The sequence below is a fragment of the Homo sapiens genome, chromosome 17 (genome assembly GCF_000001405.40).
Source record: "Homo sapiens chromosome 17, GRCh38.p14 Primary Assembly".
Classification (NCBI taxonomy): domain Eukaryota; kingdom Metazoa; phylum Chordata; class Mammalia; order Primates; family Hominidae; genus Homo; species Homo sapiens.
The window spans coordinates 360,245-375,250 of record NC_000017.11 but is presented as its reverse complement, the minus strand read 5'-3'; the positions used below and the strand labels follow the sequence as shown (position 1 = coordinate 375,250).

Here is a 15,006-nt window from a genome sequence, read left to right as displayed (position 1 = left end):
TTTCTATTTTTAGTAGAGACTGGGTTTCACCATGTTGGCCAGGCTGGTCTTGAACTCCTGACCCCAGGTGATCTTCCAGCCTCAGCCTCTCAAAGTGCTGGGATTACAGGCATGAGCCACTGCACCCAGCTACCATAGGTTAATTTTACCTGTACTGGAACTTCATGTAAATGGGATCATACAACGTGTGTTCTTTTGTGAAAGGCGTCTCTCGCTCTCATTTGGCATGACGTTGTTGAGATTCACCCCAGTTGTTGTTTGGGTCGGTAGTTGCTTCCTTTTGGTCAGCAGTATTCCTTGCTATGAGTATGTATAAGTTGCTTATCTATTCACCTGGTGATGGACCTCTGGGCTGTGTTCATTTTTGGCTATTATCAATGGAGTGGCCATAAGTATTCATGTTGACCTTGTTTTTCATTCCCGTCATATACTTTGTTTCTCTTACCTGTTTTTTTTGTTTGTTTGTTTGTTTTTTGATACGGAGTCTCGCTCTGTTGCCCAGGCTGGAGTGCAGTGGCGCGATCTTGGCTCACTGCAAACTCTACCTCCCGGGTTCACGCCATTCTCCTGCCTCAGCCTCCCGAGTAGCTGGGATTACAGGCACCCGCCACCACACCCAGCTAATTTTTTATATTTTTAGTAGAGATGGGGTTTCACTGTGTTAGCCAGGATGGTCTCAATCTCCTGACCTTGTGATCCGCCCGCCTCGCCTCCCAAAGTGCTGGGGATTACAGGTGTGAGCCATTGCACCTGGCCCTCTTACCTGTTTTACTTTTCCTAAGAGTGGAATTGCTCGGTCATGGGATAGGTGAACGTTTTTTCTTAAAAAATTGAAGCATAGTGCCTGGCATGGTGGCTCACGCCTGTAATCCCAGCACTTTGGGAGGCTGAGGTGGGTGGATTGCTTGAGCCCAGGAGTTTGAGACTAGCCTGGGCAGCATGGCAAAAACCCATCTCTAAAAAAATAGAAAAATTAGCCAGGTGTGGTAGCATGCACATGTAGTCCCAGCTACTTGGGAGGCTGAGGTGGGAGGTCAAGGCTACAGTGACCCTTGTCCCACTGCACTTCAGCTTGGGTGACAGAGCAAAACCCTGTCTCAAAAGGAAAAAAAAAAAAGGAAGCGTAGCATCTCTTCAGAAAACTGCATGCATCAGAAGTATTCTGCATTTTCACAAGGTGGACACACCCCATGTAGTCATCACCCAGCTCAAGGGATGGGACCTGGGCCCACGCCAGGCTACTTTGCTGGGCTGTCCACTCCGGGATCTGAAACTTGGCAGAGTGAAGCAAGGGGAGAAAGGATTTTGGAGCCACTACTTCCATAGTGGAAGGTGATGGGACTTGAAGGCCTTAGACTGTTGCAGTTTCCATCAGGGTCTTCAGCCTTCTGATTGGTTCTGAGCTACGAGGTATCCCCAAGGTATTCTGCCAGTACATTCCTTTCTGCTTAAGTCGTGCAGACTTGATTTCTGTTGCTTACAACCCCAGTGGATACAGTGTGCGCAGCCAACTACGAGAACCAAAACTTTAGTGGAGTATACCCCTTGTATTGCTAAAACTGAGGGTGTAATTGACCTTTAACCAATCCCTGAGTTTGTACATGACCCCATTTGGACAGTTGGATTCCTGGGCTGACAATGTGAACTCTCAAACAGGCAGTCACTTTAGATCTGACTTGAAAGTTTGTAACAAACTACTTCAAACATTTGGGACTCGTAAAGTGTTATTTTTTTTTTCTTCCTAACTTTAAATTTAGTTCCCAGTTTTGAAACAATTTTCTCTCAGTCCCCAGTGGGACGTTAATGGAGAACACTGGCTTAATTTAGAAGGTGAGATGTAGGAATGCATGTTCTTTTCTGGACTTAATTTTTGGAAACCAGGTTCATTCCTCTTGCTCCTTGATGTAGAGTGTCAGGGATTAGGTGAGGGGGTGTTTGGTGCAGACCATCCCTTGAGGACTGTTTGCTTAAGAAGGCCCAACACCTAAACTCTTCTGCTCTAAGTGGGGCCTCGTTTAAAAATGAAAAAGGAAATGAATTCTCTTCTGGTTTCTTTTTTCAATGTCATCCAATCACACAGATTAGTGATAAGAAATGGCCCAATTTCAACCGGTCTCTGAATTCTGACAGCTCATGTCCTTGTTAATGTCAGGGTCTGGGGAGCATCTGATTAAGGAGAAGGTGCCATGGGTGAGGTTCACAGATGAATGTGAAACTATCTCTAACCCCAAATCCGTCCAGGCTGGGTCTCGAAGCAGCCGCTCAGTTGCCTGTATTTTCCCAGCGTTCGCCCCTCCCCTCCCCACCACCACCGCCTGTTTTGAGAGCTGATTCCTGCAGTGACCTTTCTTTACCTGCCACTTCCAATCCTGCTGGGGGCTTCCCTCATTTGCAGAAACCACTTCTCGGGGTCCAGTGATGCCCATCTGGACATGAAGACCTTTCTCACACCATCTGGCTTGTTATGACCTTCTACTTCCGACGTGAGCTGAGCAGAAACAAGACATGGTTCTTTGCTATGAAGTCTCTTAGCCCATTCAGACTGCTGTATGAAAATATCATCATCCGGGTGGCTTATAGACAACAGACATTTATTTCTGACGGTTTGGAAGCTGGGAAGTTCAAGATCAAGGTGTGGGCAGATTCTGTGTCTGCTCAGGGCCCATTTCCTGGTTCATAGATGGTGCTTTCTTTCTGTGTCCTCACATGGCAGGAGGGGCCAACGGGCTTCCTTAAAAGCCTCTTTTGTTTATTTATTTTTTTGTGGGAGACCGGAGTTTTATTATTACTCCAATCAGTCTCCCCGAGCATGCAGGGATCAGAGCTTTTAAGGATAACGTGGTGGGTGGGGGAAGCCAGTGAGCCAGGAGTGCTGATTGGTCAGAGATGAAATCACAGCAAGTCAAAGCTGTCTTCTTGTGCTCGGTCAGTTCCTGGGTGGGGACCTCAAGATCAGATGAGCCAGTTTATTGATCTGGGTGGTGCCAGCTGATCCATCAAGTGCAGGGTTTCCAAAATATCTCAAGCGCTGATCTTAGGAGCAGCTAGGGAGGGTCAGAATCTTGTAGCCTCCAGCTGCATGACTGCTAAACCATAATTTCTAATCTTGGGGCTAAAGTTAGTCCTACAAAGGCAGACTAGTCCCCGGGGAAGAAGGAGGTCTGCTTTGGGAAAGGGCTGTTACCGTCTTTGTTTAAACTATAAACTATAAACTAAGTTTCTCCTAAAGTTAGTTCAGCCTACGCCCAGGAATGAACAAGGGCAGCTTGGAGGTTAGGAGCAAGACGGAGTCGGTCAAGTTAGATCTAACACTGTCTCAGTCATCATTTGGCAACAGTGGTTTGAGTCCCTCCCTTTGGGTTTTATAACACCTTAATCTTAAGGGGTAGAAAAGCCCCTTTTACAAGAACACTAATCCCATTTATGAGGACCTTGCCCATACGACCTAATCACCTCCTAAAGGCCCCGCCTCCTCATGCCTTGGGGTGTTAGGGTTTCAATACGGGAGCTTTCGCGGGTCGCAAACATTCAGACCACAGCGGTCTATCGTGGGGATACTGCTGAGGAGGTAACTGCTTTGAGCGTCTTGCTCGGCGAGAGCTGCAGGTAGTTCTGGATGTGGTGGGTCTGCCTAGAAGGAGCTTTTTGTGTGGTTTGTTGGTAACTTTCTAATGAATGGAATTAACATTATTGGTTTATTATGGTGCTTTTTAACCAGGTGGAAGACAAGTGCCGCCATGAGGGGCACCTCTTCTGATCCTGCACAGAAGCACCGTGAGGGCTGGGCTGGCCTCAGACTCCTCACAAACCCCTCTTCAGGTTTCAGCATCAGAGGGTGAACAGAGTCACCCTTGGCAGAGGGATTGGGAACTAATTTAGCAAAGGGGGAAACTTGGGAGTAAAAAGGCCCTATATCGAATCAAAATTTCCTTTACGGAACTGAAAATTTCCATCAGGGTCATGCTCCAAGTCAGAGTAGAAAGGACAGGCCAAGGGGGCAGCCAGGACTCACCTGCGGGGTGACCTCACTTTGCACAGACCTGGTGTCCAGGGCCCAGGCTCGCCTCGTCACTTGAGTCTGGGTGTCATTGAGGCAGTAAGCAGGGTTAGCTCCTGGGACAGGTGAGGGTGCCTCCCCCTGCCCCCGCCAGTCCAGCCCCACAACGGAGGAAGAACTGCAGATTTTCATCTGTGCAGATGAACTCAGGCCCAGTGGTGGAATTGGTGAGGGGGAAGGTGGAGAAGGACAAAGCCTAACTCAGCAAAGCGCCTACTGTGTGCCTGGCATGGTACTCCGCGCTTAGTACACTCTGGGCTACTCCAGGAGCTGCTGGCACCAGAGATGAGTTGCGGGACTGTAGGATTCTGGGAACTTTATTCTGTAAGTACAGAGGAGGCTGGTGGATCTGCCTATGGAACTCATCTGGACCCAATTGTGGGCCACATGAAGACCTTCGCCAGCACTCACTCCCAGCCTTCAGACTCACAGGGGCATATGTCTTAGCCATCGATTGCCACCATATTGGGATGCAACAAGCTGCCCCAAACCCACTGGCATATGACAGTGAGCATTTATTTCCCTCTCACGTAGCTCGGAGTTGGGTGAGGTTTGGCTGACCTAGGCTGCCCGCAGGAGGACTTGGCTGACTTCAAGCTCCAAGTGGGTTTAGGTCTGTTCCATGTGTCTCTGATCCCATTTGGACCAGAGACCACCCAAGGCCTGTTCTGTCTCATGGTGACAGGAGGAGCACAGAGACCACCCAAGGCCTGTTCTGTCTCATGGTGATAGGAGGAGCACAAGAGACCACCCAAGGCCTGTTCTGTCTCATGGTGATAGGAGGAGCACAAGAGACCACCCAAGGCCTGTTCTGTCTCATGGTGACAGGAGGAGCACAAGAGACCACCCAAGGCCTGTTCTGTCTCATGGTGACGGGAGGAGCACAAGAGACCACCCAAGGCCTGTTCTGTCTCATGGTGACAGGAGGAGCACAAGAGACCACCCAAGGCCTGTTCTGTCTCATGGTGACGGGAGGAGCACAAGAGACCACCCAAGGCCTGTTCTGTCTCATGGTGACGGGAGGAGCACAAGAGACCACCCAAGGCCTGTTCTGTCTCATGGTGACGGGAGGAGCACAAGAGACCACCCAAGGCCTGTTCTGTCTCATGGTGACGGGAGGAGCACAGAGACCACCCAAGGCCTGTTCTGTCTCATGGTGACAGGAGGAGCACAGTGAGGACCAGCTCAATCGTACATGTACATTTCCAGCCTTTTTTCACATCATATTCACTAACATCCCATTAGCTAACACAAGGCTCACAGCCAACCTCAACACAGGGCAGGGATGTACACTGCCTACTTGTAGGCCCTGGCATGGTGTGGCTGTTTACACCACTGCAGGGAGTGAGAAGCTGAGACCAGTCATGTAGCCTACTCTAGGATGAGTGTCAGTCGTTCGCTCAGTAAATATTTATTGAGAGTTCATAGTGTGCCAGGCGTTGAGCAGCTTCGGGCAACAGAATGGTGAACAAGGCAGGCCTGGTTCTTCTTGCCTTATGGAACTTACATTCTAGTGATGGGAAAATACAGGAAAGAGCTCTGTCCATCATTAATTGTTTAATTACAACTGTGATAATCACTACAAAGGGGAATTATGGAGGAACGAGGTGCCGGTATCAAAGGGCCTGGCCTGGGCCAGGGAGGAAGATACGGTTGAATTCAGAATTGAAGGTGAGTGTTAATGAGGCAGGGAACACTCATGAAGATTAATAGCACAGCTGACTTCTCATCTGAAGCCCTGGAAAGCAGGAGGCAGTGGGTGGCACAGCCAAAGTGCTGAAAGAATTTAAAAAATTCTTTAAAGAATTCTATATCCACAAAAAACTATCCTTCAAAAGAGGCCGGGTGTGGTGGCTCATGCCTGTAATCCCAGCACTTTGGGAGGCCCAGGCCGGGGGATCACGAGGTCAGGAGATCAAGACCATCCTGGCAAACATGGTGAAACCCCGTCTCTACTAAAAATACAAAAAAAAATTAGCCGGGTGTGGTGGCGGGCGCCTGTAGTCCCAGCTGCTCAGGAGGCTGAGGCAGGAGAATCGTGTGAACCCAGGAGGCGGAGCTTGCAGTGAGCCGAGATCGCACCACTGCACTCCAGCCTGGGCGACAGAGCGAGACTGCGTCTCAAAAAAAAAAAAGGAGAAATTAAGACATCCTAGATTAATATAATAAAAACAGAGAGAATTTGTCACTGGCAGGCATGGCCTATAAGAAATCCTAAAGAGAATCCTTCAGGCCGACATGAAAGGGCACTAGGCGGTGACTGAAATCCATATGACGATACAAGGAGCATCTAAAGGGGTGAGTATATTCTGCTAGTAATTCTTCTGTCTGATTGAAAAGATAACTGCGGAAAGCAATGCTTGTTAAAACTTTGTTGATGGGCTTATAATGCACCAAGATATAATTTGTATAACAATAATAGCACAAAGGAGTGGAGGGGACAGAGCGATGTTGGAGCAAAGGTTTTGTGTACTATTGCAATTAGGTCAGTATTAGTCCAGGTTAGATTGTTTTAAATTAAAATGTTAATTGTAGTCTCCAAGGCAACCATTAAGAAAATAACTTTAAAAAATGGAAGAGGAGCATTAAGGGTTATGCTAGAAAATACGTATTCAACACAAAAGAAGGCAGAAATGGGAAAATATAGGAATAAAAAGACAAGACATATGGAAAGCAACTAGCAAAATGGCATAAATCCTATCTTATCTGTAATTACATTAAATACAAATGAACTAAATTCTCCAATAAAAAGAGCATGGCAGAACGGATTTACAAGAGACACACTTTAGATTCAAAGACACAAATGTGTGTAAAGTAAAAGGACAGAAAAAGATATTCCGTTCAAGCAGTAACCGAAAGAGTGGTGAAGTGGCTCCACAAGTAGCAGACAAAATAGGCTTTAAGGCAAAAATTGTTACTAGGGACAAACAGGGACATTTTATAATGACAAAGGAGTCAACCTATCAGGAAAGCCTAATAATTATAAAGCTGTATGCACCTAACAAGAGACCCCCAAAATACATGAACCAAAACCAACAGAAATGAAGGGAGAAATACAAAATCCAACAATAATCGTTGGAAGCTTCAAGGTCCCACTTTCAATAATGGATAGAATGAGTAGGCAGAGAACCAACAATGAGATAGACTTGAAAACACTGTAAATCAACTGGACCTAACAGACATCTGCAGAACTCTCCACCCAGCAACCGCAGGATGCAGGTTCTTCTCACGTGCCCGGGAGGACAGGCATCTGCAGAACACGCCACCCAGCAACCGCAGGATGCACGTTCTTTTCATGTGCCTGGGAGGACAGACATCTGCAGAACACGCCACCCAGCAATCGCAGGATGCAGGTTCTTTTCACGTGCCCGGGAAGACAGACATCTGCAGAACTCTCCACCCAGCAACCGCAGCATGCACATTCTCACATGCCCGGGAGGACAGACATCTGCAGAACTCTCCACCCAGCAACCGCAGGACGCACGTTCTTCTCACGTGCCCGGGAGGACAGGCATCTGCAGAACATGCCACCCAGCAATCGCAGGATGCAGGTTCTTTTCACGTGCCCGGGAGGACAGACATCTGCAGAACTCTCCACCCAGCAACCGCAGGACGCACGTTCTTCTCACGTGCCCGGGAGGACAGGCATCTGCAGAACACGCCACCCAGCAATCGCAGGATGCAGGTTCTTTTCACGTGCCCGGGAGGACAGATATCTGCAGAACTCTCCACCCAGCAACCGCAGCATTCACGTTCTTCTCACATGCCTGGGAGGACAGACACCTGCAGAACATGCCACCCAGCAGCTGCAGGATGCACGTTCTTCTCACATGCCTGGGAGGACAGACATCTGCAGAACTCTCCACCCAGCAACCACAGCATGCACGTTCTTCTCAAGTGCCTGGGAGGACAGACATCTGCAGAACTCTCCACCCAGCAACCACAGCATGCACGTTCTTCTCAAGTGCCTGGGAGGACAGACATCTGCAGAACTCTCCACCCAGCAACCGCAGGATGCACGTTCTTCTCAAGTGCCCGGGAGGACAGACATCTGCAGAACTCTCCACCCAGCAACTGCAGGATGCACGTTCTTCTCACGTGCCCGGCAGGACAGACATCTGCAGAACACGCCACCCAGCAACCACAGGACGCACGTTCTTCTCACGTGCCCGGGAGGTGTTCTCTGGGAGAGGCCATATGTTAGGCCGTAAAACAAGACTCGGTAATTTTTCTGGTCTTGCTCTGTTTCCCAGGCTGGAGTGCAGTGGCATGATCACGGCTCACTGCAGCCTCAACCCCCCAGGCTCTGGTAGTCCCCCACCTCAGTTCCCAGAAGTAGCTGAGACGGCAGATACGTGCCTTCACGCCTGACTGATTTTTGTTAAGATGAAGTCTCTCTCTGTTACCCAGACTGGAGTGCAGCGGTGCAATCTTGGCAACCTCCGCCTCCTGGGTGCAAGTGATTCTCATGCCTCAGCCTCCTGAGTAGCTGGGATTACAGGTTTGCACCACCAGGCTCAGCTAAGTTTTGTATTTTTGGAGGAGATGGGGTTTTGCTATGTTGGCCAGGCTGGTCTCAAACTCCTGGCCTCAAGCGATCCGCCTGCCTCGGCCTCTCAAAGTGTTAGGATTACAGGCATGAACCACCGCACCTGGCCTTAATAAATTTAAAAGGATTCAAGTCATACAAAGTACGTTCTCTAACTGTAGTAGAATGAAGTTAGATATCAATAAAGGAAATTTGGGAATTCACAAATGTCCAAAGTGAACACACTCCTAAATAACCAATGGGTTGGCTGGGCATGGTGGCTCACGCCTGCAATCCCAGCACTTTGGGATGCCGAGGCAGGTGGATCACCTGAGGTCAGGAGTTCGAAACCAGCCTGGCCAGCATTGTGAAATCCCGTCTGTATTAAAAATACAAAAAATTAGCTGGTGTGGTGGCAGGCGCCTGTAATCCTAGCTACTCAGGAGGCTGAGGCAGGAGAATCGCTTGAACTCAGGAGGCAGAGGTTGCAGTGAGCTGAGATCACAGCATTGCACTCCAGCCTGGGCAACAAGAGTGAGACTCTGTCTCAAAACAAACAAACACAAACAAACAAACACCAATGGGTCAAAGAAGAAATTAGGCCAGGTGCGGTGGCTCATGCCTGTAATCTCAACACTTTGGGAGGCCAAGGTAGGAGGGCTGCTTGAGTCCGGGAGTTTGAGACCAGCCTGGACAATATAGCAAGACCCTGTCTCTAAAAAGAAGAAGAAGAAATCACAGAGAAATTAGAAAGTAGGTTGAGATGAATGAAAATGAAAATATAACCTATCAAAACCTATAAAATGTATAGCTGTAAGAACCTCTGTTAAAAAAGAAGAAAAACTTCAAATAAATAATCTTCCACCTTAAGAAACTAGAAAAAGAACAGCAAACTAAACCCAAAGCAAGCAAAAGGAAAGAAATAATAGAGATTAGAGCTGAAAAATGAAATCGTGAATAAAAATACCACTTATTATATGATTCTGTTTATATGAAATGTCCAGATTATGCAAATTAATAAGACAGAAAGCAGATTCGTGACTTCTGGGGACTGTGGAGAAGGGAGGAATGGGAGGGAGTGGCTGCTAATGGGCTTCTTTCTTTCTTTTTTTGAGATGGCATCTCGCTCTGTCACCCAGGCTGAGCGCAGTGGCGCAATCTCGGCTCACTGCAAGCTCCACCTCCCGGGTTCACGCCTTTCTCCTGCCTCAGCCTCCCGAGTAGCTGGGATTACAGGTGACCGCCACCGTGCCTGGCTAATTTTTTGTACTTTTAGTAGAGACAGGGTTTCACCATATTGGCCAGGCTGGTCTCGAACTCCTGACCTCAGGTGATCCTTCCGCCTCGGCCTCCTGAAGTGCTGGGATTACAGGCGTGAGCCACTGTGCCCGGCTGCTGATGGGTTTCTTTGTGGAGTGATGAAAATGTTCTAGAATTAGGTAGCGGTAATGGTGGCACAACCCTGTGACTGTACCAAAAAACCACCGAATTGTAAACTTTGAAAAGGTACATTTTGTGGTTTGTGAATTCTATCTCAATAATGATGTTGACAAAATGAATTTTAAAGAGTTAATTAGGCAAAAGGGGTTGTGGGGAAAGAGTTGGGGGAAGCATTTCCCAGGCAGAAGAATCAGGGTTCCTGGCCCCCAGGGGAAAGCGCGCGGCGTGGAAAGGAAACCTCAGGCCCCTGGGGGGAGGATTTCGCTTGTATCATCAGAACAGTAGGAAGCCACTGGGGCAGTTTCAGGCTGGCAGTTCCGTGACAGGGCTGATGCTTTGTTTTTTATTTTTATTTATTTCTTTTTTAAATGCGCGTTACCTGGCAAGGGCTGACATTTTGGGGAGCTCACTGTGGGGATAGTGAGGAGAAGAGACCAGGGAGGGCCGGGAGTGGATTTGAGGAGGTATCGGCAGCAGCCCAGATGGAGGAGATTACGCTTCGGGAGGTTTATTCAAGGTCACTGTGCTAGATGGACCCGGACCTGGGTCCCTCTGCCACCGAAACCTTTGTTCTCCCCCGGCCACTGATTTGAATACTCCCAGGTATTCTCAGTCAGCTCAGCGTGGCGTGAGGTGGTTTTGCTGGATGGAAGGGTGGTGGGAAAGTGGACATGATATTAATCAGGCCAGCTAGGACTTGCGGCTCACTGGGGCTGGTTGCAAACAGCAGAGGCTGGACAAAAAGGGAACTTTACTGCCAAGGCCCTGGAGTATCTCATAGAAGCTGAGGAAGATTTCAACGCTCAGGCCCCTGGAGGGGCTGAATGGAGCACAAATGCTAGAGGGAGGGGCCCCTCTCTCTGTCCTGCTTCAGCTCCATGTTGGCTCCCCTCTTCTCGGTCTCACTGCAGGCCACCTTTCCGTTTCTGTCAACTGGACATTTCCATGAGGGGAAAATGGCCTCAGCCTCAGTGTGCATCTTACTGCAAAAGGCAGTTGAGTTGAGACTCCGTCTCTTACCCCATTTCCCAGATTCTTTTTGCTTTTTGTCTGTCTATCTGTCATCTATCTATGAAACTCTATGTATATATCCCTGTGTATATCTATCTGTCCGTCCGTCCATCCATCCATCCATCTATCTATCTATGAATGAGACTCATTGCAGCTTCGACCTCCCAGGCTAAAGTGATTCTCCTGCTTCAGTCTCCAGAGTAGCTAGGACCACACGTGTGCACCACCATACCCGGCTACACACCACCAAACCTGGCTACACGCCACCACACCCGGCCACACGCCACCACGCCCGGCCACATGCCACCACGCCCGGCCACATGCCACCACGCCCGGCCACATGCCACCACGCCCGGCCACACGCCACCACACCCGGCCACACACCACCACATCCGGCTGTTTTTTTTTTTTTTTTTTTTTTTTTTGAGACGGAGTCTCGCTCTGTCGCCCAGGCCGGACTGCGGACTGCAGTGGCGCAATCTCGGCTCACTGCAAGCTCCGCTTCCCGGGTTCACGCCATTCTCCTGCCTCAGCCTCCCGAGTAGCTGGGACTACAGGCGCCCGCCACCGCGCCCGGCTAATTTTTTGTATTTTTAGTAGAGACGGGGTTTCACCTTGTTAGCCAGGATGGTCTCGATCTCCTGACCTCATGATCTACCCGCCTCGGCCTCCCAAAGTGCTGGGATTACAGGCGTGAGCCACCGCGCCCGGCCCCGGCTGTTTTTTTTAAATTTTTAGTAGACAAGGCTCTACTGTGTCTCACTGTGTTGCCCAGGCTCGTCTTGAAGTCCTGAGCTCAAGTGATCCTATCTCAGCCTGCCAAAGTGCTAGGATTACAGGTGTGGGCCACTACTCCTGGCCTTACTTTTTTAAAATTTAATTTATTTTTTAAATTTTTCAAGAAAGAGTCTCGCTCTGTTGCGCAGGCTGGAGTGCAGTGGTATGATCATAGCTCGCTGCAGCCCCAAACTCCCGGACTCAAACGATCCTCTCACCTCAGCCTCCCAAATCACTGGGATTACAGGCGTGAGCCACCATGCCTGACCTATGTTTATTTTTTTGTAGAAATGGGGTTTGACTATGTTGCCCAGGCTGATCTCGAACTCCTGACCTCTAAGCAATCCTCCTTCCTCGGCCTCCCGCAGTGTTGTGATTACAGGAGTGAGCCACCGCACCCAGCCTTATTTCCCGGATTCTTAAGGGAGGGACCTTGATGTGCCAGTTTGGCTTAGGTGCTCCCCTGGAAGAGCCAGCTGTGCCCCAGGGGACTGGCCGCAGTGTAAACTCAGGGCCTCCGGAGCCCACCCCTGAAGGTGGCTGGACAGCTACAGGAAGGCCAGGGAGGGAAGGAAGGTCGTTGATGGCTGGCGAGGTCAGCTATGGAGGGGAAGGGACATCGTTGATGTGTGGCGAGGTTACCTGTATTCAAAGTCCCCTCCCATTTTCTTCGGATAACCTGCTGCCTGGGATCCGTCGGCCTCTAGGAATAAACCACATGAGACCCTATTTGGTCACTTTGTGTCCGGAATTGGTGGGTTCTTGGTCTCACTGACTTCAAGAATGAAGCCGCAGACCCTCGCGGTGAGTGTTACAGCTCTTCAGGTGGCGCGTCTGGAGTCTGTCCCTTCTGATGTTCAGATGTGTTCGGAGTTTCTTCCCTCTGGTGGGTTCGTGGTCTCGCTGGGCTCAGGAGTGAAGCTGCAGATCTTCGCGGTGAGTGTTACAGCTCATAAAAGCAGCGTGGACCCAAAGAGTGAGCAGTAGCAAGACTTATTGCAAAGAGTGAAAGAACAAAGCCTCCACAGTGTGGAAGGGGACCGGAGCTGGTTGCCAATGCTGGCTCGGACAGCCTGCTTTTATTCTCTTATCTGGCCCCACCTACATCCTGCTGATTGGTAGAGCCAAGCGGCCTGTTTTGTCAGGGTGCTGATTGGTGCGTTTACAATCCCTGAGCTAGATACAAAGGTTCTCCACTCCCCATCAGATTAGTTAGATACAGAGTTTCCACACACAGGTTCTCCAAGGCCCCACCAGAGCAGCTAGATACAGAGTGTCGATTGGTGCATTCACAAACCTTGAGCTAAACACAGGGTGCTGATTGGTGTGTTTACAAACCTTGAGCTAGACATAAAGACTCTCCACCTCCCCACCAGACTGAGGAGCCCAGCTGGCTTCACCTAGTGGATCCCGCACCGGGGCTGCAGGTGGAGCTGCCTGCCAGTCCTGCGCCGTGCACTCGCATTCCTCAGCCCTTGGGTGGTCGTTGGGACTGGGCGCTGTGGAGCAGGGGGTGGCGCTCGTCGGGGAGGCTCGGGCCGCACAGGAGCCCATGGAGTGGGTGGGAGGCTCAGGCATGGCGGGCTGCAGGTCCCGAGCCCTGCCCCGTGGGAAGGCAGCCAAGGCCCGGCGAGAAATCGAGCGCAGCGCCGGTGGGCTGGCACTGCTGGGGGACTCAGTACACCCTCTGCAGCCGCTGGCCCGGGTGCTAAGTTCCCCATTGTCCGGGGCCAGCAGGGCTGACTCGCTGCTCCGAGTGCGGGGCCCGCCAAGCCCACGCCCACCCGGAACTCCAGCTGGCCCGCAAGCGCCGCACACAGCCCCGGTTCCCACTGGTGCCTCTCCCTCCACACCTCCCTGCAAGCTGAGGGAGTGGGCTCCAGCCTTGGCCAGCCCAGAAAGGGGCTCCCACAGTGCAGCGGAGGGCCGAAGGGCTCCTCAAGTGTCACCAAAGTGGGAGCCCAGGCAGGGGAGGTGCCGAGAGCAAGCGAGGGCTCTGAGGACTGCCAGCACGCTGTCACCTCTCAACTTGAACTGATTGGCAAACTCAGCCCTTCGACTGTGTATCACCCCTCCTTTTTTTTGCCTTCAATTTCAGCACTTGACTGGGCAGGGAACATTCCAGAATTTAGTGTTAATCTTACTAGCTTTGTGAATTCCGTCACTTCCCCCAGAAAAGAAAGGACGGTCCATGCCGCCTGACAAACTTGCTGAAAAGGATTCTTGTTATTGTCATTGACTCACTTTCTCCTGTGATTTAAAACCCAGTGGTGCGGATTCAGGTGCCTGGAAACCCTGGTGACTGTACATGGGCCTGTGATGGGGGACAGGAGATGTCTGTGAGGTCATGTGGGAGGCACACGCAGGGGTCAGGTCTGTGAGGTCATGTGGGAGGAACACGCAGGGGTCAGGTCTGTGAGGTCATGTGGGAGGAACACGCAGGGGTCAGGTCTGTGAGGTCATGTGGGAGGAACACGCAGGGGTCAGGTCTGTGAGGTCATGTGGGAGGAACACGCTGGGGTCAGGTCTGTGAGGTCATGTGGGAGGAACACGTTGGGGTCAGGTCTGTGAGGTCATGTGGGAGGAACACGCTGGGGTCAGGTCTGTGAGGTCATGTGGGAGGAACACGCTGGGGTCAGGTCTGTGAGGTCATGTGGGAGGAACACGCTGGGGTCAGGTCTGTGAGGTCATGTGGGAGGCACACGCAGGCGTCAGGTCTGTGAGGTCATGTGGGAGGCACACGGAGGGGTCACCTGCCCCAGCGCCCCACGGTTTCCAGCCTTGGCCTGTCCTCTTTCACCTGGCCCACGGGTGATGCGTGCTGTGCTGGCCTTTCTGCAGGGGACAGTGCGGTCAGGGGACTGCTGTGGGCTGTCAGAGCCCCAGCCCTTTGCTCCATACCAGGGCAGCCGTTTCCAGTCCTGAGGGTTTTTGCGACTGATCCTGGCTGGGACTTGCTTCTTACTAGGAGAAGCAAGAGATCCAAGTCCTTCAGTCAGACGCTGCTCTCAGACATCAGAGGGGCAGGACACTGAATGCAGATGTGGGTTCTGAGGGCTCCTTTCTCTTTGAATTCCTGCAGCATTTAGTAGGAGGCCGTGCGGCTTGGTGTCTTATTATTTATCGTTGAACGCGGGCTGCCTGGAGTGTTGTCTCCAATGCTAATAATGAGGCCAGTGTCGTGCGTGAGGCT

General features: G+C 50.8%; 3 annotated features.

The window, feature by feature from the left end:
* Window positions 7,024-8,223: an enhancer, noted in NCBI's record as "P300/CBP strongly-dependent group 1 enhancer chr17:216819-218018 (GRCh37/hg19 assembly coordinates)". NCBI's record gives its function as "activates an origin of replication core promoter dependent on BRD2, BRD4, P300/CBP, MED14 and CDK7 cofactors, with strong dependence on P300/CBP, by STARR-seq in HCT116 cells {active_cell/tissue: HCT116}" and the evidence as "EXISTENCE:reporter gene assay evidence [ECO:0000049][PMID:35650434]".
* Window positions 7,024-8,532: a biological region, named in NCBI's record as "P300/CBP strongly-dependent group 1 enhancer GRCh37_chr17:216819-218018".
* Window positions 7,822-8,532: an enhancer, noted in NCBI's record as "H3K4me1 hESC enhancer chr17:216510-217220 (GRCh37/hg19 assembly coordinates)". NCBI's record gives its function as "activates a minimal SCP1, AML or CMV promoter by ChIP-STARR-seq in naive H9 embryonic stem cells {active_cell/tissue: H9 hESC(naive)}" and the evidence as "EXISTENCE:reporter gene assay evidence [ECO:0000049][PMID:30033119]".